General features: G+C 41.8%; 1 protein-coding gene across 1 annotated transcript, besides 1 other annotated feature; it reads left to right on the forward strand.

Moving 5' to 3' along the window:
• Window positions 7,028-16,192, forward strand: OR4D9 (olfactory receptor family 4 subfamily D member 9). Its single transcript, NM_001004711.2, has 3 exons — window positions 7,028-7,235; window positions 10,162-10,255; window positions 10,372-16,192. The coding sequence occupies exon 3, from the start codon at window positions 10,402-10,404 to the stop codon at window positions 11,344-11,346; it is 945 nt and encodes a 314-aa protein (NP_001004711.1). The 5' UTR covers window positions 7,028-7,235; window positions 10,162-10,255; window positions 10,372-10,401; the 3' UTR covers window positions 11,347-16,192.
• Window positions 21,622-21,903: a silencer, noted in NCBI's record as "fragment chr11:59293606-59293887 (GRCh37/hg19 assembly coordinates)". NCBI's record gives its function as "represses an EF-1alpha promoter that drives an FKBP-Casp9 reporter gene in an ReSE screen in HepG2 liver carcinoma cells {active_cell/tissue: HepG2}" and the evidence as "EXISTENCE:reporter gene assay evidence [ECO:0000049][PMID:32094911]".

A 22,322-nucleotide genomic window follows, 5' to 3' on the forward strand; every position in this document is an offset into this window, starting at 1 on the left:
AAAACAAATCCAGGCCAGGCGCGGTGGCTCACAGCTGTAACCCCAGCACTTTGGGAGGCCAAGGCGGGTGGATCATGAGGTCAAGAGATCGAGACCATCCTGGCCAACATGGTGAAACCCTGTCTCTACTAAAAATACAAAAATTAGCTGGGCATGATGGTGCGCACCTGTAGTCCCAGCTACCAGGAGGCTGAGGCAGGAGAATTACTTGAACCCAGGAGGCAGAGGTTGCAGTGAGCCAAGATTGCGTCACTGCATTCCAGCCTGGCAACACAGCAAGACTCCATCTCAAAAAAAAAAAAAAAAAGAGGCCGGGCGCGGTGGCTCATGCCTGTAATTTTTTTGGGAGGCCGAGGCGGGCAGATCACGAGGTCAGGAGATCGAGACCATCCTGGTTAACACGGTGAAACCTCGTCTCTACTAAAAATACAAAAAATTAGCTGGGCGTGGTGGCAGGCGCCTGTGGTCCCAGCTACTCGGGAGGCTGAGGCAGGAGAATTACTTGAACCCAAGAGGCAGAGGTTGCAGTGAGCCGAGATCGCGCCACTGCATTCCAACCTGGTAACACAGTGAGACTCTGTCTCAAAAAAAAAAAAAAAGAAAAGAAAACAAATTCAGCTCTTCATCACCAAGGACACCTTATATTATTTTTCCCATGAATTCACATTTACATACTCAGATACATTGTCAGTAAACCAACTATACTGACTATGAACAATTTGTCTTCCTATTTCAGTTAGTAGATAACTGATAACCTAAGCTTCTGTGCAGCATGAACTAACTAGTGTTATAGGAGTGAACTGACTGTTACTTTTCCAAAGACCAAGTAACCTTATGTCAATCAAGACAGCTATATGGCAGGCAGATAAGATGATTAAGTCCAACATTTTTTTCAGAAGATAAGGAAATAAAAGCCCAGAGAGATAAAGTGATGTGTTCAAGGTCTTATATTAAGTTAATTACAGAGACATCTTCAGATGCTCAACCCATTGTTCTTCCACCACATGAATGTAATTTATTACATTGTTGGACCTGTCTATACCAAACTATAATCCTGTTCCAGAAGGATCTCATGATCAATGCCTCTGGAGTACATATATGTGGGTATGCATAGCCTATTGCAGATTGAGAAATTGGCCTCTGCTGAATTAAACTAAAGTGGGCTCATGAGCTACTGAGAACTTCATAGGAACATAATGGTTATCCTCCTGGATTCCTATCAAGATTGATGAGGCTTGGGAAGATTTCTCATCATGGCCTAAAGGTATATATCTTAATGCAGAACTAGACATGCCACACATTCTCATGATGAGTTTGGATAAAGGCAAAACTTCAGAAACCACACACATGAAGCAATTTATCTCTACCATCAAAGGACCGATTTTCCAGTTGCAGCCTTACAAGGGTCAGTTTTGCCTTGGCCTCACCATTGAGAATTCACATTTCTTTTCACTGGAAAGAGAGAATGGGAGAGTTTAAGAAGAAAAAACTCTACCCGGTCTATTTTTTCAAACTTCTAGTGTTTGTGAAGAGGCAGTATAGGCTAGTGTTATTATCTGGGAGAGCAGTAAAGCATGGTGGATGAAAGCTCTAATTTCAGAGTCATACAGACCCAGGTATGAATCCTATCTCTGCCATCCACCAGCTGTGCGATCTTGAGCAAGTTATTTCACCTCTCTCTCCAAAGGTCATAGTTCACCTACGCAAAGATTCTCGTTATAATATCCATCTCATGAGGTTGTTGTAAAGGACAAAATGAGATGGTATACATGAAATATATGATACCTGGCAGAGAATAAATGTGCAACCAAAGATAAATGTCATTATTAATATCACCTTTATTGCTTTACCTAACACGCCTTCTGTTTCCCATTGGCCTGTAACACCCTTTTCCTATATGACCCATACTCCTTATTTTTAGATAAAAACTGGTTGAGTAGAAAACATGAAAATGTATATTGAGTTCAAAACATCCATCATGTTAAAATGTCTAGCTTTCTTTTTTTTTTAACAAAAGAAAAGTTTAAAAAGGAAGAAATCATACAGATAACACAATTGTCCACATTGTCAAGAAAATATAGAAAAATACTCTTAGGACTAATAAATGACTTCTGCAAGGTCTTAGGATACAAGACCAATGTACAGAGATCAATCATATTTCTGTATACCGACAATAAACATGTGCAAACCAAAATTAAAAACAACACCATTAATAGTCACTAAAAATGAAATACTTAGTTATAAACAACAAAAAAATGTATAGACTGTGTATGCTGGAAATTACAAAATGTTGATGAAAGAAATCAATCAAGACCTAAACAAGTGGAGAAGCATACTGTGTTCATGGACTGGATGATTCAACATAGTAAAGATCCCAATTCTCCCAAAATGTATAAGTTTAATGCAATTCTTACCGAAGTCCCAGGAAAGCTTTTTTGTAAACTTTTTTTTTTTTACAATTTAATCTTTTATTTTTATTTACATTTTATGTAGAATGCTTATAACTAGAAAGAAAGGTTTCTTTTTTATATATACTTTAAGTTTTAGGGTACATGTACACATTGTGCAGGTTAGTTACGTATGTATACATGTGCCATGCTGGTGCGCTGCACCCACTAACTCGTCATCTAGCATTAGGTATATCTCCCGACGCTATCCCTGCCCCCCCCACCCCACAACAGTCCCCAGAGTGTGATATTCCCCTTCCTGTGTCCATGTGATCTCATTGTTCAATTCCCACCTATGAGTGAGAATATGCGGTGTTTCGTTTTTTGTTCTTGCGATAGTTTACTGAGAATGATGATTTCCAATTTCATTCATGTCCCTACAAAGGACATGAACTCATCATTTTTTATGGCTGCATAGTATTCCATGGTGTATATGTGCCACATTTTCTTAATCCAGTCTATCATTGTTGGACATTTGGGTTGGTTCCAAGTCTTTGCTATTGTGAATAATGCCGCAATAAACATACGTGTGCATGTGTCTTTATAACAGCATGATTTATAGTCCTTTGGGTTTATACCCAGTAATGGGATGGCTGGGTCAAATGGTATTTCTAGTTCTAGATCCCTGAGGAATCGCCACACTGACTTCCACAATGGTTGAACTAGTTTACAGTCCCACCAACAGTGTAAAAGTGTTCCTATTTCTCCACTTCCTCTCCAGCACCTGTTGTTTCCTGACTTTTTAATGATCGCCATTCTAACTGGTGTGAGATGGTATCTCATTGTGGTTTTGATTTGCATTTCTCTGATGGCCAGTGATGATGAGCATTTTTTCATGTGTTTTTTGGCTGCATAAATGTCTTCTTTTGAGAAGTGTCTGTTCATTTCCTTTGCCCACTTTTTGATGGGGTTGTTTGTTTTTTTCTTGTAAATTTGTTTGAGTTCACTGCAGATTCTGGATATTAGCCCTTTGTCAGATGAGTAGGTTGCGAAAATTTTCTCCCATTTTGTAGGTTGCCTGTTCACTCTGATGGTAGTTTCTTTTGCTGTGCAGAAGCTCTTTAGTTTAATTAGATCCCATTTGTCAATTTTGGCTTTTGTTGCCATTGCTTTTGGTGTTCTAGACATGAAGTCCTTGCCCATGCCTATGTCCTGAATGGTAATGCCTAGGTTTTCTTCTAGGGTTTTTATGGTTTTAGGTCTAACGTTTAAGTCTTTAATCCATCTTGAATTGATTTTTGTATAAGGTGTAAGGAAGGGATCCAGTTTCAGCTTTCTACATATGGCTAGCCAGTTTTCCCAGCACCTTTTATTAAATAGGGAATGCTTTCTATTATCAAAACATGACAATAGGTTTGCTTGTTATTCATAAGGCTTAAAGAGTCGCCCTGGGCAGGCACAGTGGCTCATGTCAGTAATCCCAGCACTTTGGGAGGCCGAGGAGGGCAGATCACCTGAGGTCAGGAGTTCAAGACCAGCCTGCCCAACATAGTGAAACCCCATCTCTACTAAAAACACAGACACAAAAAGTAGCCGGGCATCGTGGTGGGCACCTGTAATCCCAGCTACTCAGGAGGCTGAGGCAGGAGAATCATTTGAACCTGGGAGGCAGAGGTTGCAGTGAGGCAAGATTGTGCCATTGCACTCCAGCCTAGGCGACAGAGCGAGACTCTGTCTCACGAAAAAAAAAAAAAAAAAGTCACCCTGAAGCTGATGAGAGAAACAGCACAGGAGAATTTAATATCAAAAGAAGATAATGGGTCAAAAATAAACCCTGGCTTATAGAGTAGCCAAGAGGACAGGCCCCATGGGATGGAACAGAGAGCCCAAGGAGAGTAAATTAGCCAAAGGATAATGAATGTTGAAGGATAGTGAATGTTGAAGACAAACTTTACTTAAGTCCCTCATTGGATCTGGCCTGGCCCTGTAAGCATTCATGAACTAACTGGCTCAAATGTTTGCCACTTCCTGTCACCTGATCAACAAAACCTAACTTCTTACAATATTAACTTACTTCTGCAAGCAAACAGATTCTAATAAAAAGTCACACTTGCCAGATCACTATTCATAGGGTCCTGCTACCTTTGCCCAAGTAGCTTTGGTCTCAAGAGTCCCTAGGCTTTTCTTTATGAAATTGCTTATGAAAAATACACACTACAAGCCACTTAATAGCCCATTTCACGCAAATCCGTCCTTTGCCCTTTTCTTTCTTTCCTAACTCTTGTGACTCACTCAGATCAAGTTTTTATCTCTATATCAGAATCAGATGACTCCACAGATCTATAGGGCCTGATTAAGAAACACAATCCCAAGAGATCAAGAACCCAGGAACTCTTGGCATATCATTGTCCCTGTTGACTTCCTCATGACCGTGTCTAAACATGCAACATAACCTGATTCAATAACTCAGGACAGAAAAAGCAATTGCATCTGATCACACAAACACTTATTGGCAGTGACATAAAATCACAAGTTGAGCAGCATTTTTCCCACTTACATTAGTTTTGACTAGTTTTTGTTTGTTTTGTTTTGTTGTTTGTTTTTTGAGATGGAGTCTCGTTTTGTCACCTAGGCTGGAGTGCAGTGGCATGATCTCAGCTCACTGCAGGCTTCGCCTCCCGGTTTCCAACGATTCTCCTGTCTCAGCCTCCTAGGTAGCTGGGATTACAGGCACACACCACCATACCAGCTAATTTTTGTATTTTTAGTAGAGATGGGGTTTCACCATGTTGGCCAGGCTGGCATCAAACTCCTGACCTCAGGTGATCTGCCCACCTCAGCCTCCCAAAATGTTAGGATTACAGGCGTGAGCCACCGTGCCCAGCCTAGTTTTTACTTTTTTTTTTTTTTTTTTTGAGATGGAGTCTTGCTCTGTCACCCAGGCTGGAGTGCTGTGGCGCGATCTTGGCTCACTGCAACCTCTGCCTCCCAGGTTCCAGTAATTCTCCTGCCTCAGCCTCCCAAGCAGCTGTCATCAATAAATAAAAATTGTATATATTTACAGTGAACAGTACAATGTGATGTTTTATTATACATATACATTGTGAAATGATTGTTGTATGCTTTCATTATTTTTTAAGCTCTGCTGCTAAGAACTGTAGAAAAGTCAACTGACTCTGGGCACACACGTGGATTTCAAACTGCTCTTTTATATATGTGCTCCCCAAATTAAATGTTTTCATAGTGAATATCTCTGGGTACGCATGAAAAAATAACATAAAATAATTATGCAGTAACTGAGTTGATGAATATCAAGAGCTGTACCTAGATGTAAAGTGAGCTATACATTTCAGAGATGTAGGTTAAAATAACTGTGGGGGCTGACGGGGCGCAGTGGCTCATGCCTATAATCTCAGCACTTTGGGAAGCCGAAGCAGGCGGATCACTTGAGGCCAGGAGTTCAAGACCAGCCTGGCCAACATAGTGAAATCTCATCTGTACTAAAAATACAAAAATTAACCAGGCACAGTGGCTCATGCCTGTAATCCCAGCTACTTGGGAGGGTGAGACAGGAGGATCACTTGAAGCCGGGAGGCAGAGGTTGCAGTGAGTTGGGATCATGCCACAGTACCACTCCAGCCCGGACAACAGAGCAAGACACTGTTTAAAGAAAAAAAAATGTCCTGGGACAATGTACATGTTGCTTTAAACAGAAAATGTGGCCAGGCGCCGTGGCTCATGCTTGTAATCCCAGCACTTTGGGAGGCAAAGGCAGTTGCATCACCTGAGGTCAGGAGTTTGAGAACAGCCTGACCAACATAGTGAAGCCCCACTTCTATTAAAAATACAAAATTGGCCAGGCATGGTGGCAGGCTCCTGTAATCCCAGCCACTTGGGAGGCTGAGGCAGGGGAATGGCTTGAACCCGGGAGGCAGCGGTTGCAGTGAGCCAAGATCGCACCATTGAACTCCAGCCTGGGCAACAAGAGCAAAACTTCATCTCAAAAAATAAATAAATGAATAAAATAGAAAATGCACGTATAAATCCATACAGTCTCTGAGAGCTGCTCTGACAGTAGCCACAGAGCTTTGAATTTTTCACTGTTACTCTTTTATTTATTTAAGTTTCATTTCCTAGCTGATTGCAGGCAAAGTGACTTTAGTCAAGAGGAAGACTGCACAGTCATTGGTGTGGTTTAACAAAACACTCTCTTCCTGAGCCAAAGAGGAAAATACACTGTCTCATGTGTTTCCTCTAGAGGAAAGGGTATGTCCTGAGTGCACGGGTGCCTCTGCATGTATGTATGAGAGAGAACAGAGAAAAAATGAGAAAGAGGGAGAGAGAACAAAAGAGAGAGTACAAGACAGAGAGTACTTGGTGACATTTTAATGACTCCCAAAGGAACTCCTGAGTTGTATTGTAGCGTATTATATTGGCCACTCAGCTTCCACATTCATACCTAACAATATTCCCTTTGCTAATTCCTATATTGGGCTGTGGCTGGAGACTAATACAGGTGGCCAAAATGTAGTAAAGTAGAAAAGAGTCAGAATACTGTAATTACCTGAGGTTGCTTTTTCCCATCTGAGGAAAGAAGATAATAAAATCACTCACTTTGAGGTAGGCTTTACATTAAACAGAGAATTTCCCCAGTACCTACTTCTTCTAAAATGCAGCTGAGGCATCATAAGAGGATCAATTTCCCACTTAAAGATTAAACCAGCAGTTAGTATTAGTGCCTATGAACTTCTGAAACTGAAAAGCTGTTTGTGCTGAATTTTGAGAAATGCTGCAAATGTGTAGAATGTTCCTATGGAAGTCAAGACTCTTAAGAAGCAAAGAAAAGAGGTAGTTTTTCACTATTAGAAAGAGGGAAAGTGTGGCTTGCAAAATATAGGAAGATGGTCAGTTGGCTTGGCTGTGTTTTACTTGTTGGGATATTGAGGTTCAAAATTTATTAAAGGTAGTTGAGAAGGTGCTGACGTCACCAGCTCTCAGGAGGATGACTGCCTTGGAAAAACAGCTTTTAAAGGCAGTAATTCCTGAGTTTAGTAGATGCAGTTTTGCCTCTTGGCTGGGAATGAAATTTTGGAAGATTTGAGTAAGATGTTTTAATGACAAGATTATCTGTGCCTTCATGTACCACTGAATAAGAATAATGCTTCTAGTAAAAGTTTTAGGGATTCAATCAAGAATAAGGGATTTTCAAAATTGGAAAATAGAAAACCGTGATATGTGTGGCATCCTAGAAAGTCAACTTAATGTAGAGAATGAGGAAGAATTTGCTCAATGGGATGCTGGGGTATGGGGGGGAATCCTCAGTTTGCAGGCTCTGTCCAAGATACTTGATAAGCTTGTTTCCAAAGAAGGGTCCCCTTTGGGATGATTTTTTTTCTTTTTTCTTTTTTTTTTTTTTTTGAGACAGAGTCTCACTTTGTCACCCAGGCTGGAGCCTGTAGTCCCAGCTACTCGAGAGGCTGAGGCAGGAGAATGGCGTGAACTTGGGAGGCGGAGCTTGCAGTGAGCCGAGATTGTGCCACTGCACTCCAGCCTGGGCGACACAGCGAGACTCCATCTCAAAAAAAAAAAAAAAAAGAACATCTCAAATCCATACGTGAGTAAAAAATAAAACGGTAACTCTTGAGTTGGTCACAGTGGCCCATGCCTGTAATCTCAGCACTTTGGGAGGTCCAGGCAGGTGGTTCACTTGAGCCCAGGAGTTTGAGACCAGCCTGAGCAACATGGTGAAACTCAGTCTTTTTGTAAAAATACAAAAAAAAAAAAAACAGCCAGGCATGATGGTACAACCTGTAGTCCCAGCTACTGGGGAGGCTGAGGTGGGAGGATCAATTGAGCCCAGGAAGCGGAGGTTGCAGTGAGCCACGACTGCACCACTGCACTCCAGCCTAGGCAATGGGAGTGAGATCCTGTCTCAAAAAAACAACAACACAACAAAATGTTTACTCTCAGATGATAGCTGGTGATGACTATAACCACGTAACTATAAAAGTAACTTATAAAAGTGAGTGGTCCATTAAATTTTGCTTTAAATGTAATTCATTCTTTAAACATGAGATTAAAGTGTTATAAATGATAAATGTTATGTTTGTTAGTTAAAACTTTATACTGAAGTATGATATGCTAACATACAGAAAAACGCACATACATGTACAGCTCAATGAATTTTTTTTTTTTGAGATGGAGTCTCGCTCTGTCACCAGGCTGGAGTGCAGTGGCATGATCTCAGCTCATGACAACCTCCGTCTCCTGTGTTCAAGTGATTCTCCTGCCTCAGCCTCCCAAGTAGCTGGGACTACAGGCGTGTGCCACCACGCCCAGCTAATTTTTGTATTTTTAGTAGAGACGGGGTTTTAACATGTTGGCCAGGCCTCCACTCACCTCAGCCTCCCAAAGTGCTGGGATTACAGGCGGGAGTCACCATGCCCGGCCAACTCAATGAATGTTTTTACACCAGCAGAATATGCCTACTGGTGTAAACCAGCACCCAGAAGCCTCCCTTAGGCTCCCTTCAGTTTTGTACATATGAATAAAATGGAAGAGTGCATACTCTTTGGTCCCTGGATTATTCAGCACAACATTATGTTTGTGGGATTCTCTTATATTATTACGTATAGTGTAAATCATTCTCATTGCTGTATAGTATTGTGTGAACGTAACACAGTTTATTTATCTTTTCTACTGTTGATGGATTTCTGAGTCATTTTCCAGTTTGAAGAAATTATAATCAGTGCTACTGGTGAGGTGTGGTGGCTCATGCTTGTAATCAAACTTAAGAGGCCAAAGTAGGAAGATCACCCGAGGCCAGGAGTTTGAGACCAGCCTGGGTAACATAGGGAGACCCCAACTCTATAAAAAAATTAAAAATTATTCCAGCATAAAAAAATAAATAAAAAGAAAAAAATTATTCAGGTGTGGTGACAGGCACCTGTAAGTCCCAACAACTAGGGAGGCTGAAGTGGGAGGATCGCTTGAGCTCAGGAGTTTGAGGCTACAGTGAGCTATAAGCTCACCACTGCACTCCAGCCTGGGCGACAGAGTGAGACCCTGTCTCAAAAAATATAAAAAATAACAGTGCTGCTATGAATATTCTAGGACATGTCTTTTGATGAACATATGTACATATTTCCTAGAAGTAGAAATATGTCCTTAAGAGATATATAGGTAATGATATACAGATAGATCCTTTAAAAGAGATATATCATCATACATGTAGATATATACATATCCTCCTATGTATAAAACTATATTTATATACTGTCTTAGCAGAGATAATCAAATAGCAAAGTGGTTATACCAATTTTACACACCCACTAGCAGTGTATTAGAGTTCCAACTGTTCCACATCTTCACCACCACTTTTTCATCTTTTCAGTTTCTATCTTTTTCAATTTAGCCAATCTGGCATGTATATTGTGGCTTATTGCTATAACTAATGAAGTTGAATTGGCATTTGGATATGCCTTTTGTGAAGTATTGGTTTCAATCTTTCGCCATTTTGAGGTTGGGTCATCCAGCTTTTTTACTGATTTGTAGAGGCTCTTTATATATTCTGAACATGAGTCATTTCTCAGATAAATGTATTGTAAATATCTTGCTCCATTTGCAGGTTATCTTTGAATTCTCATAATGATGCTTTTATGAACAGAAATCCTAATATATTCAGATTTCTTCTTATTATTTATTATTTTAAGTGTCAGATTTTATAGTGAAAGTACAATTGAATAGATTCACGGACTTGCAACCTCTGTTTCAGCAGCAGCAGTGAGAGAACTTTGTCTCCTGGGATGACTGAATCAAAAACCTGGGTAATCTTTCATCCAGTGGTGGCATACTGACTTGCAGACACAGTGAGTGCATAGGGAAAAGAGCTTCCTCCTAATTCTGAGCCAAATCTTAAGTGAAAAGACAACACTAGATTTTAGGACCTATCAATATTATTTAACTGCACTATTATTTCTTCCAGAGATGAACCTGATAAAGGATCTGTGATTCAATGGATCAGAGAAATTACACCAGAGTGAAAGAATTTACCTTCCTGGGAATTACTCAGTCCCGAGAACTGAGCCAGGTCTTATTTACCTTCCTGTTTTTGGTGTACATGACAACTCTAATGGGAAACTTCCTCATCATGGTTACAGTTACCTGTGAATCTCACCTTCATACGCCCATGTACTTCCTGCTCCGCAACCTGTCTATTCTTGACATCTGCTTTTCCTCCATCACAGCTCCTAAGGTCCTGATAGATCTTCTATCAGAGACAAAAACCATCTCCTTCAGTGGCTGTGTCACTCAAATGTTCTTCTTCCACCTTCTGGGGGGAGCAGACGTTTTTTCTCTCTCTGTGATGGCGTTTGACCGCTATATAGCCATCTCCAAGCCCCTGCACTATATGACCATCATGAGTAGGGGGCGATGCACAGGCCTCATCGTGGCTTCCTGGGTGGGGGGCTTTGTCCACTCCATAGCGCAGATTTCTCTATTGCTCCCACTCCCTTTCTGTGGACCCAATGTTCTTGACACTTTCTACTGCGATGTCCCCCAGGTCCTCAAACTTGCCTGCACTGACACCTTCACTCTGGAGCTCCTGATGATTTCAAATAATGGGTTAGTCAGTTGGTTTGTATTCTTCTTTCTCCTCATATCTTACACGGTCATCTTGATGATGCTGAGGTCTCACACTGGGGAAGGCAGGAGGAAAGCCATCTCCACCTGCACCTCCCACATCACCGTGGTGACCCTGCATTTCGTGCCCTGCATCTATGTCTATGCCCGGCCCTTCACTGCCCTCCCCACAGACACTGCCATCTCTGTCACCTTCACTGTCATCTCCCCTTTGCTCAATCCTATAATTTACACGCTGAGGAATCAGGAAATGAAGTTGGCCATGAGGAAACTGAAGAGACGGCTAGGACAATCAGAAAGGATTTTAATTCAATAAGGGTAAGATAGTACCCATATTTAAAGATAGACATTAAATTTCACTTTCTCAAAATGGGAAAGGAGCTTGTTCATGCCCAAAACAAAGAGATACCTATGGCCACCATCGAGTCCTAAAAGAAGTTATTCCATCATATATGTTGGGGACCACGTGGATGATACTGCTCTAAGACAAAATCCACTCAAGTCTTTCCCTACTCACTTTCAATTATTCATTCCACAAATTTTTATAGAGCATACACTATATGTCTGAAAGTACTGGGATTCAGATTGCTGCAAAAAGATTAAATGTAGTCACCTTCCTGGAGGCATAACCCAAAATACTTATTAAAAAATATAAACAGGCCAGGCGTGGTGGCTCACACCTGTAATCCCAGCACTTTGGGAGGCCAAGGCAGGCAGATGACCTGAGGTCGGGAGTTCAAGACCAGCCTGACCAACATGGAGAAACTCAGTCTCTACTAAAAATACAAAGAAAAATAGGCCAGGCATGGTGGCGCATGCCTGTAATCCCAGCTACTCGGAAGGCTGAGGCAGGAGAATCACTTGAACCCGGGAGGCAGAGGTTGCAGTAAGCTGAGATCACACCATCACACTCCAGCCTGGGCAACAAGAGCGAAACTCCATCTCAAAAAAATAAAAAAAATAAAAAATAAATAAACAAAGTGCTAGGGGAACTGTAGCCACAATATTACTTGAGAGTTTCCAAAGACATTTAACAGCCAGTAGACATTTTCAAGGGGAAAAAGATCAGAAAAGAACAATCCAAGCAAGGAAAACAACATGTACTTGTCCACATGAGGTGTCTTATGCCTGTAATCTTAGCACTTTGGGAGGCTGAGGTGGAGGGATCACTTGAGCCCAAGAGTTCAAGACCAGCCTGGGCAACTTAGTGAAACCTCATCTCTACAAAAAATCATGATAATAGGCCGGGCGCGGTGGCTTATGCCTGTAATCCCAGCACTTTGGGAGGCCAAGGCGGGTGGATCACAAGGTCAGGAGATCGAGACCATCCCGGCTAACATGGTGAAAGCCCATCTCTACTAAAAATACAAAAACAAAATTAGCCAGGCTTGGTGGTGGGTGCCTGTAGTCCCAGCTACTGGGGAGGCTGAGGCGGGAGAATGGCATGAACCCGGGAAGCAGAGCTTGCAGTGAGCCGAGATCACACCACTGTACTCCAGCCTGGGCAACAGAGCAAGACTCTGTCCAAAAATAATAATAATAATTAATAAATAAATAAAAATTAACCAGACATGATGATGCACACCTGTAGTCCCAGCTACTTGAGAGACTGAGGCAGGAGAGGTTGAGGCTGCAGTGAGCCATGTTCACTTCACTGCACTCCAGCCTGAGCAACAGATCAAGACACTTGTCAAAAAAAAAAAAGAAAAGAAAAGACAAAAAGAAACCAGCATGCGCAAAGAAAGAAAATGAGGTGAGATTGTGCCACATTTGTGTAACAGTGAACTCAGTGCAGCCATGGCGTAATACACTCTTGGGGTGAATACTGGTACTGGACCTTTAAAAGAAAAGTTGGGAAGAATAACTCCATTTATGACCACCTGAACAATGCAAGCCCATGATTTCTGTTGAGGAGAGAGGATCCCCAATTCACTTCAAGGACATAATTTCCTCCTAGGAGAAGGAAATAATGCTGTTAGTGAGAGTGTTCATAAAGAAGAATCACTGTTGCCGGGCGCAGTGGCTCACGCCTGTAATCCCAGCACTTTGGGAGGCTGAGGCGGGTGGATCACGAGGTTAGGAGATCGAGGCCAGCTTGACCAACATGGTGAAACCCCATTTCTACTAAAAATACAAAAATTAAGCCGGGTGTGGTGGTAAGCGCCTGTAATCCCAGCTACTCAGGAGGCTAAGGCAGGAGAATTGCTTGAACCTGGGAGGCGGAGGTTGCAGTGAGCCAAGATTGTGCCACTGCACTCCAGCCTGGGCGACAGAGCGAGACTCCAACTCAAAAAAAAAAAAGGAGAAGAATCACTGTTGAGGCTGTGGACAGCTCCTTTGATTTTGAGAAAAAAATGAGCAAAGGCAGATGCCAAGCTCTCAAATGGGAAGCAACTGACTCCCCCTTATATAGCAGGATTAGCCAGATCCAAATTTCCTGTTGTTTCTATACACAGTGATCTCACCACTCCTTTACCTGTGCCACTCAATCTATTAGAAGGTAAAGAAAGGGTATAAAAAGCATGATAGTTTAATTAGTGAACCTGAGAATTTGCCAGTCTCTGTTGTGAAAGAGACAGGGATAGTGCTAGGAGAAGATTTATCTGACAATCCAGCTGATACTCTGCTAAGATCTATTGACTTCACCATACTGTGTTCCCCACTATGATAAAGCTCAAGCCATAGCAGCTGGCACACATTTATCAATCAGAGTAGGCCAACCACTGCAACAAAAATGTCCACGGTCTAAGTAGTTAGCCACAACAAAAGTTTACTTCTTGCTCATGTCACAGGCCAATGCTGGTCTGCAGAAAGAGGGCACAGTGCCACACTGTCATTCAGAAATGCAGGCTTCTCCCGTCTTGGGCTCCACATTCTCTAGATCCTCAGAATCCTGTCCATGATCCAGCAGATGGAGAAAGGGAGAGAGAATTAAGAATAAGTGATTCTCCTGCCTCAGCCTCTTGAGTAGCTGGGACTACAGACATGCACCACTATATCTGGCTAATTTTGTATATTTTTATTTTCATAGAGATGAGGTCTCACTAAGTTGCCCAGGCTGGTTGAAATTCTTGGACTCAAATGATCCCTCCACTTCAGCCTCCCAAAATGCTAGAATTACAGGCATGAGACACCTCACCTGAACATGCTCATGCTGTCTTATGCTCCACAGTCTCTAGATCCTCATAATCCTGTTCATGCATCCAGCAGATAGAGAAAGGGAGAGAAATTAAGAATTATGGGGAAGGGAGGGGTGTGTCTTTATGGGACAGTCCTGGAAGTGGTGTGAACTACTTATGACCACTTTCATTGGCCAGCCCTTGGTCACATAGCCTCACCTGACAGCAAGGGAGCCTGGAGAATGAAATCAAACTCTGCTCTCAGAAAGAAGAAAATATGAAGAATGAACTCTAGTGATCTCTTCCACATGTAAGATTCACTGCTAAGAAATCACAGTTGGGTTACATTACAAAGATTAAGACTTTGTCTATAAAAGGATTCTCTTAATACATAAAAATGTTTGCTACAGGGCTGGCTGCGGTGGCTCATGCCTGTAATCTCAGCACCTTGGGAGGCCAGGGAGGGTGGATTGCTTGAGCTCAGGAGTTTCAGAACAGCCTGGGCAACATGGCAAAACCCCATCTCTACAAAAAATATAAAAATTAGCAGAGCATGGTGGCACACGCCTGTAGTCCTAGCTACTCAGGAGACTGAGCTGGGAGGATCACTTGAGCCTGGGGAAGTCAAGGGTGCAGCGAGCCATGAATGCCCCACCGTACTCCCACCTGGGCAAAAGAGTGAGACCCTGTCTCAAAAAAAAAAAAAGAAAAAGTTTGCTGGAAAGGCAACTAGACCCTTAGAACACACAGAGAGCCAAACCGAAATGAAGGAGATGGGGGAAAATTTTTCTTAACTTAAAGGAAGAGGGAAATGATCAAGGTAAACCCTGGGATTAGGATGACAGTAGACTAGAAGGGCAGGGTTCCATGAGATAGAACATTAGGGTAGAGTGCCCCAAGAAGATAGGCCAAGAAGACAATCCTCATAGAAAGCAACTCTCACTTATTCCCAAACTTTTCATGGGCTTGTTGTAAACAAGTTCGATTAATGCAGAAGCTCCTTTAGCAATGAATGTTCTCCAAAACTACCATTTGACGCAGCAATCCCATTGCTGGGTATATACCCAAAAGAAAATAAATTATTCTACCAAAAAGACACATGCACCTGTATGTTCACAGTAGCAAAGACAAGGAATCAGCCTAGGTGCCCATCAATGGTGGACTAGATGAAGAAAATGTGATACATTATACACCATGGGGTACTATGCAGACATTTTTAAAAATGAATTCATGTGCTTTACAGTAACATGGATGCAGCTGGAGGCCGTGATCCTAAGCAAATTAATGCAGGAACAAAAAATCGAATACCACATGTTCTCACTTATGGGTGAGAGCTAACCATCGATTTACACATGGACACAAAGATGGGAACAAAAGACACTGAGGCCTACTTGAGGGGAGGAGGGTGGGAAGAGTGTGAGGTCAGAAAACTACCTATTAGGTACTATGCTCACTACCAAGATTGTCTTCTTGGCCAATCTTCTTTGGGCACTCTACCCTAATGTTCTATCTCATGGAACCCTGCCCTTCTAGTCACTACCTGGGTGACAAAATCATTTGTACACCAAACCCCAGCAACACACAATTTACTCATGTAACAAGCCTACACATGCACCCGTTGAACCTAAAATAAAAGTTAAACAAAAATGAAATCAATGTTATCTTCTTTGCTGATTGACATTTCCTGTGTTCTATTTCTACCACTCAAAAATGTTCTGAATTTCTCACTCATAGATGGGAATTGAACAATGAGAACACATGGACACAGGAAGGGGAACATCACACTCTAGGGACTGTTGTGGGGTGGGGGGAGGGGGGAGGGATAGCATTAGGAGATATACCTAATGCTAAATGACGAGTTAATGGGCACAGCACACCAGCATGGCACATGTATATGTATGTAACTAACCTGCACATTGTGCACATGTACCCTAAAACTTAAAGTATAATAATAACAAAAAAAAGAAAAGATAAATGAAGTCAATTGAGGAGATAATAGGGTTTTATTTTTTCTTTTCCTTGCAATGATTGTTACAATGTGCTTTGGACAAGGCAATTTTATATTGGAAAAATAGAGACCACATTGAAGTGGAGTTGTAATAGAATCTGGAAATAAAAAAAATATGGTTAAAACTAAAAAAAAAAAATGTTCTGAATTATTTTCCAATATTGGATATCTTTCCCCAAGTATGAAAATGCTAATATAGACACAAATTAGTTTTCAGCTGGATCCAGCTGCAGCTATCGAATCACCACTTCCTGCCTGGCTCCATCCTTGTTCCAGTATAATTGTTCCCCTCATCATCTAGTACTTTTTGCAATGATATCTTTTTTCCTACTTCCCTGTTGGTTTTACCGAAAACAAGAACTTTGTGACTGGGAAGAATTTTAAGTGACCAAAAATCCGCACAATCTTAGTTTGTGTTCCTGATTGTAGGATCTCACAAATGATAGCAACCCGGCAAAAGCTGCCCGTGCAGCTGCTTTGGACTAATTGGAGAAGTGGAGAGAGTATCAGAGTAATTCAGAGATACTGAATCCTTTGGACAAGGAGAGTGACAGAGCCAGCTACAGGAAAGGAAGGGTTCAGCTCTGGATAATAATGATCAGATCAGTTTTAGACATTTGAAATTAGAGGTGTGCACCATACGCAAGTGAAATAAATCTATGGTGAGAGACAAGGTATCAAAAATACATGCAAAACAATCTGATAGAGTGAAGAAAAGCAATTGGGCCAGGCGCAGTGGCTCACGCCTATAATCCCAGCACTTTGAGAGGCCAAGGTGGATGGATCACATGAGGTCAGGAGTTCAAGACCAGCCTGGCCAACATGGTGAAACCCCGCCTCTACTAAAAATACAAAAATTAGCTCGGTGTTGTGACAGGTGCCTGTAGTCCCGGCTACTTGGGAGGCTGAGGCAGGATAATCACTTGAACCCAGGAGGTGGAGGTTGCAGTGAGCTGAGATCATGCCACTGCACTCCTGGGCCACAGAGCGAGACTCCAAAAAAAGGGAAAGGAAGAGAAAGGGAAAGGGAAGGGGAAGGGGAAGGAGAAGGGAAGGGAAGGGAAAGGAAGGGAAGGGAAAGGAAAGGAAAGCAAAAGAACACCAAGTTAAGTTACTCTGGTGATCTCAGCATCATCAAGATGCCTCTATCTGAAACAAAATACAGATTAATCCAAGTAGTTATTTGATGCTATATACTTCTGGTAAAAATACTTCTCTTTTAATATAACATCAAATAATTACTTGGATTAATCTATATTTTGCTTCAGATAAAGGCTTGTCTTAGGAAACTATTAAATATTAAACTGATTCTAGCTTCACCTACATAGATCATGTAAATGGTCCTAGCATATTTTGTTTTTTCTATGCAAGGAAGGCTTCTTTTAAATTTCTGCAGTATTTTTTCATAAGCAAATAAATGCATCTATATATTCAAACTGACATAGGAGTTATCCTGGTTTAGGAATGATGCTGACATTTGGGTCTTCTTTAAGAAATTGAAAGAAGATTCAGATTGCTTTGGCTTAGTTTCTAAGATGCTACTATAGTCAGAACCACAGAACCCATGGGTAAGCATCCACAAAATTCCATCACAAAGTGCTACTCTGGAGAAGTCTACAGAGTTTTGTTGTTGTTGTTGCATTGCTTGTTTTTCAAGTCTGAAAGAAAATGTTTTCAACATAGTTCCTGCTCAATAAAACAGATTATTCATTCAGTGTTATATTAGGAATCTATGGCTGCATAACATATTACCCCAAAAGTTTGTGGTTTAAAACAAACCAAAAAACCAACATACTTTTTATGTCACAGTTTCTGTGGATCATGAATTTGACACAACTTAGCTAAGTTGTGGGCTTCAGGGTCTCTCACAGGCTACCATCAAGGTGTCAGCTGGGAGCCACAGTCTCATCTCAAGATTCAACTAGAGAAGGATCCATTTCCAAACTCACACATACAATTGTGGGGCAGAATTATGAGTTGTTGAACTGAGGGCTTCAGTTCCTTAGTGGCTGTTGCTGGAGGCTATTCTCAGTTTTCAGAGATGAGTTTTCAAAAATTACATTGGGGGTGAGCTGAGATCAAGAGTTTTTGAGGGGAAAAAAATGAAATTATTTGCTTTTAGGACCTCAGAATCCTCAGGACTGGAAGATGATGGGTATTCAAAAAATAGATCACAATTAAATATCTGGTGAATGAGTGGTACCAACGCATCATATGTCTGTATATTTCCTCTCTTCACATGAGAAGTTTGGTGGAAAACAAGGAAGAAAATGTGTTTCCTAGACTTTATGATCCTCTGATTATCTACATTAAAAGGACAACAAGCAGGCCAGTGTGGTGGCTCACACTTGTAATCCCAGCACTTTGGGAGGCCGAGGTGGGCAGATCACCTGAGATCAGGAGTTCGAGACCAGCCTGACCAACATGATGAAACCCCATCTCTACTAAAATACAAAAAGTAGCCCAGCATGGTGGCGCATGCCTGTGATCCCAGCTACTCAGGAGGCTGAGGCAGGAGAATTGCTTGAACCTGGGAGGCGCAGGTTGCAGTGAGCCGAGTTCGTACCACTGCACTCTAGCCTGGGTGACAGAGTGAGACTCTATCTCCAAATTAAAAAAAAAAAAAAAAAAAAAAGGACAACAAGAAAATCATCTGCCCAGAAAAAAAAGAGGATGGGATAAAACACACAATACTAGGAGTTCTATTCCTTTTCCCTAAGTTCCTACCTCTTAAGAAGATAGACTCCAGTTTAGTCCCCTATGACCTCTTTAGGGAAAGCTTGGGGCTCTAAGCACAAAGTCTGTAAGGATTCATCTCATCCCCTACATTGGGAGAATTGCAAAAGCAAAATATGTGTGTTGCACACACCTACCAGTGATGTCTGACTTCTTACTAACTCCCAGTGGAACTTCTTCTCAATAGGAAATTCTGGCTGCTCAACTTCAAAAACCACATCCAAAAATATATTCCCTTTGGTGATCATTTCCCTGGCTCTGATACAAATGGACTGGTATTCATGGCAGGCCCACTGTGGGGCAGTGTGTTGGAGCCATGCAGAGGCGATTCTTGGAGCCTGCAGGGGAGAAGACACTGAACCAACCAACCCTCAGATGCAGATCTGCCTTAAAGGAGAATAGCCCTTGACAAGTAATGACTCCTAAGGTCAGAACAAATGGCCAGTTCTGCTTCTTGGGTAGGTATTAGAGGTGGGGACTTCAAATGAGAACATTGTGTTAAGTTAGAGCTTTGTGGTGTGTGCTTGTATGTCTAAATGTTTATCTATGCAGGTGCACCCATGCACAGACAATTTTGAAGTATTATTGTAGATTACTTAGAAATGTATTGAATGCTAATGATGCTTTTACTAGGTGTAGAATGACATACATTAAAGCTAAAAATTGTAGGGGTGCAGAGCAGAATAATTAGTTGTTCAATATTAGCAAGGTGACTTGAAGTGCATAGAAAGGTCAACTCGTTAAGAGAAAGAGAGCAATATATGCTTTGTGGACAATAGAGTCGAGGGGTTCTCCAGGTTGGAGATGCTGTAAAATTCAGTAAGCCTGTTTTAGTAGAATGGATTTACGTAGGCATATTTCTAAGAAACAAACTGGGGGGTCCTCAGTTTGTTCTTGCCAAAAACAAAAACAGGAGAAAACTCATAAACTATACTTCTCTGTTTTCTTCTTTCCTGTTGCAAACAGACACATGCATTCACAGGGCTTCCCACTGATCCTTCCACTCTCTATCTTTTATCTTTAATTGTGCATAAATGTTATGCATGGAAGAGCACCATTTTGGCATTTTTCAGTTGAATTGGTGATTTGATCACTTTCACTTCTTTACAGAATCTCACATAATGAATGGACTCCATTAGTCCCATTTTTAAGACAGAAAGCAATGATAGAATATTTTTAGATCCACCTCATATTTTTCTTTCACCTGAAGTTACTGAACCACACACATCCCACCATGCAAGTGTTTGTCGTTGTTGTTGTTGTTGTTTGGTTGGGTTTTGTTTTGTTTTATTTTGTTTTTTGAGACAGAATCTCGCCCTGTCGCCCATACTGGCATACAGTGCTATGATCTTGGCTCACTGCAACCTCCACCTTCCGGGCTCAAGAGATTCTCCTGCCTCCGCCTGCCAAGTAGCTGGGATTACAGGCGTGCGCCTCCGCATGCGGCTAATTTTTGTGTTTCTAGTAGAGACAAGGTTTCCCTATGTTGGCCAGGCTGGTCTTGAGCTCCTGACCTCCAGTGATCTGTCGACCTCGGTCCCCCAAAGTGCTGGGATTACAGGTGTGAGCCACTGCGCCCGGCCCCACCATGCAAGTTTTATCTGCTTCCCAATTTCTTAATTTTCCATGTGTGGAGCCCAAGGAACATCAAACACTTCTCATTTTCAATTTTTCCCGACCCAATTCAGTGCCCTTGGACTGTCCCAAGCACCTAACACAGGCAGAGGTTGCAGGAAATCTAGGAGCCTCTGTTCAGCTCTTCTGCAGATCTCCAATCAAACCCACACGGAATTCTGAATCATCCCAATCCACATGGGTCCACCACTTACTAGCTGTATACCCTTGGCCAAATAACTTATCTTTTCCTAGCCTCAGTTTCCTTATCTGTAAAACAAAGGATTTACCTCAAAGTATTGCTGTCAGAGCTAAATGAGCTGCAGCAAGCAAAGAACCCAGAAAAAATAGCTCAGTTCAGATTTGCTGTCTGCCCCTCCCCACCTGCATTTGGATGGCCCTAAGTATGATAACTCACACACCCCTTGGTTCTTAAATATGCTCTGGATCTGAGTTTAACCCTGATCCTTGAATTGTTTCTTTTTTTATCATGTGTATTGGTCTTTTCAATAACAGCTTATAAACCTGCCTATGTGAGGTATGAGAAACACAGTTGGAGTCGTGCAAATAATCTAGATTTTTGTATATATCTGTAGCAGTTTGGATACTGCAGAATGAATATATTCTAGAGTCAGATGTAGACTAGATAGCCCTTAACTGCCAACCCTCAGTTGAAGAGACAAAGAAAAAGAAATCCGTTTGTTAAGTATTTTCACTATTTTTTTCTGATTACACATGGTTATTGATGTGATTGAATATATATGTATATTAATATACCTATATACTCAAATAATATGGAATAATATAGAGATTGTTATATATTCAAACAATGGGATATATCACATATATGTGTATAAACAATATGGAAATCTCCAACATTAATTTATTTCTAAGAGATCTGTTAACACCTTTGATCACTTACTTTAAGGCTTTTTTTTTTTCAGACAGTCTCACTCTGTTGCCCAAGCTGGAATGCAGTGACACGATCTCAGCTCACTGAAACCTCTGCCTCCCAGGTTCAAACAACTCTCCTGCCTCAGCCTCCTGAGTAGCTGGGATTACAGGCGTGTGCCACCACGCCTGGCTAATTTTTGTGCTTTTTTAGTAGAGAAAGGGTTTTTCATTTTGGGCAGGCTAGTCTCAAACTCCTGGCCACAAGCAATCTGCCTGCTGTGGCCTCCCAAAGTGCTGGGATTACAGGCGTGAGCCACCGAGCCCAGCCAGAGCATTGAATAATCTTAAACACTCCATGAATTGATGATACTCATCAACCCCTTAATCATCAATATCTTTCTTGTTTTCAGTTTTATTTTACCTTCATTGATGCTGGTATTGCATTTTGTTGTTGTTTTGTTTGTTTGTTTTGAGATGGAGTCTCGCTCTGTTGCCCAGGATGGAGTGCAGTGGCGTAATCTCAGCTCACTGCAACCTCCGCCTCCCGGGTTCAAGCGATTCTCCTGCCTCAGCTGGGACTACAGGCATGCGCCAGGATGCCTGGCTACTTTTTGTATTTTTTAGTAGAGACAGGGTTTCGCCATGCTAGCCAGGGTGGTCTCGATCTCCTGACTTCGTGATCCACCCACCTCGGGCTCCCACAGTGCTAGGATTACAGGCATGAGCCACCGCGCCCGGCCTTGTTGTTGTTTTAAACAGAGTTTCACTCTGTCACCCAGGCTGGAGTGCAGTGGCATGATCTCGGCTCTCTGTAACCTCTGCCTCCCAGGATCAAGCAATTCTCTTGCCTCAGGCTCCCGAGAAGCTGGGATTACAGGCGCCTGCCACCATACCCGGCTAATTTTTGTATTTTTAGATTTT

Source organism: Homo sapiens, chromosome 11 (genome assembly GCF_000001405.40).
Source record: "Homo sapiens chromosome 11, GRCh38.p14 Primary Assembly".
In the NCBI taxonomy this organism is placed as follows: Eukaryota; Metazoa; Chordata; class Mammalia; order Primates; family Hominidae; genus Homo; species Homo sapiens.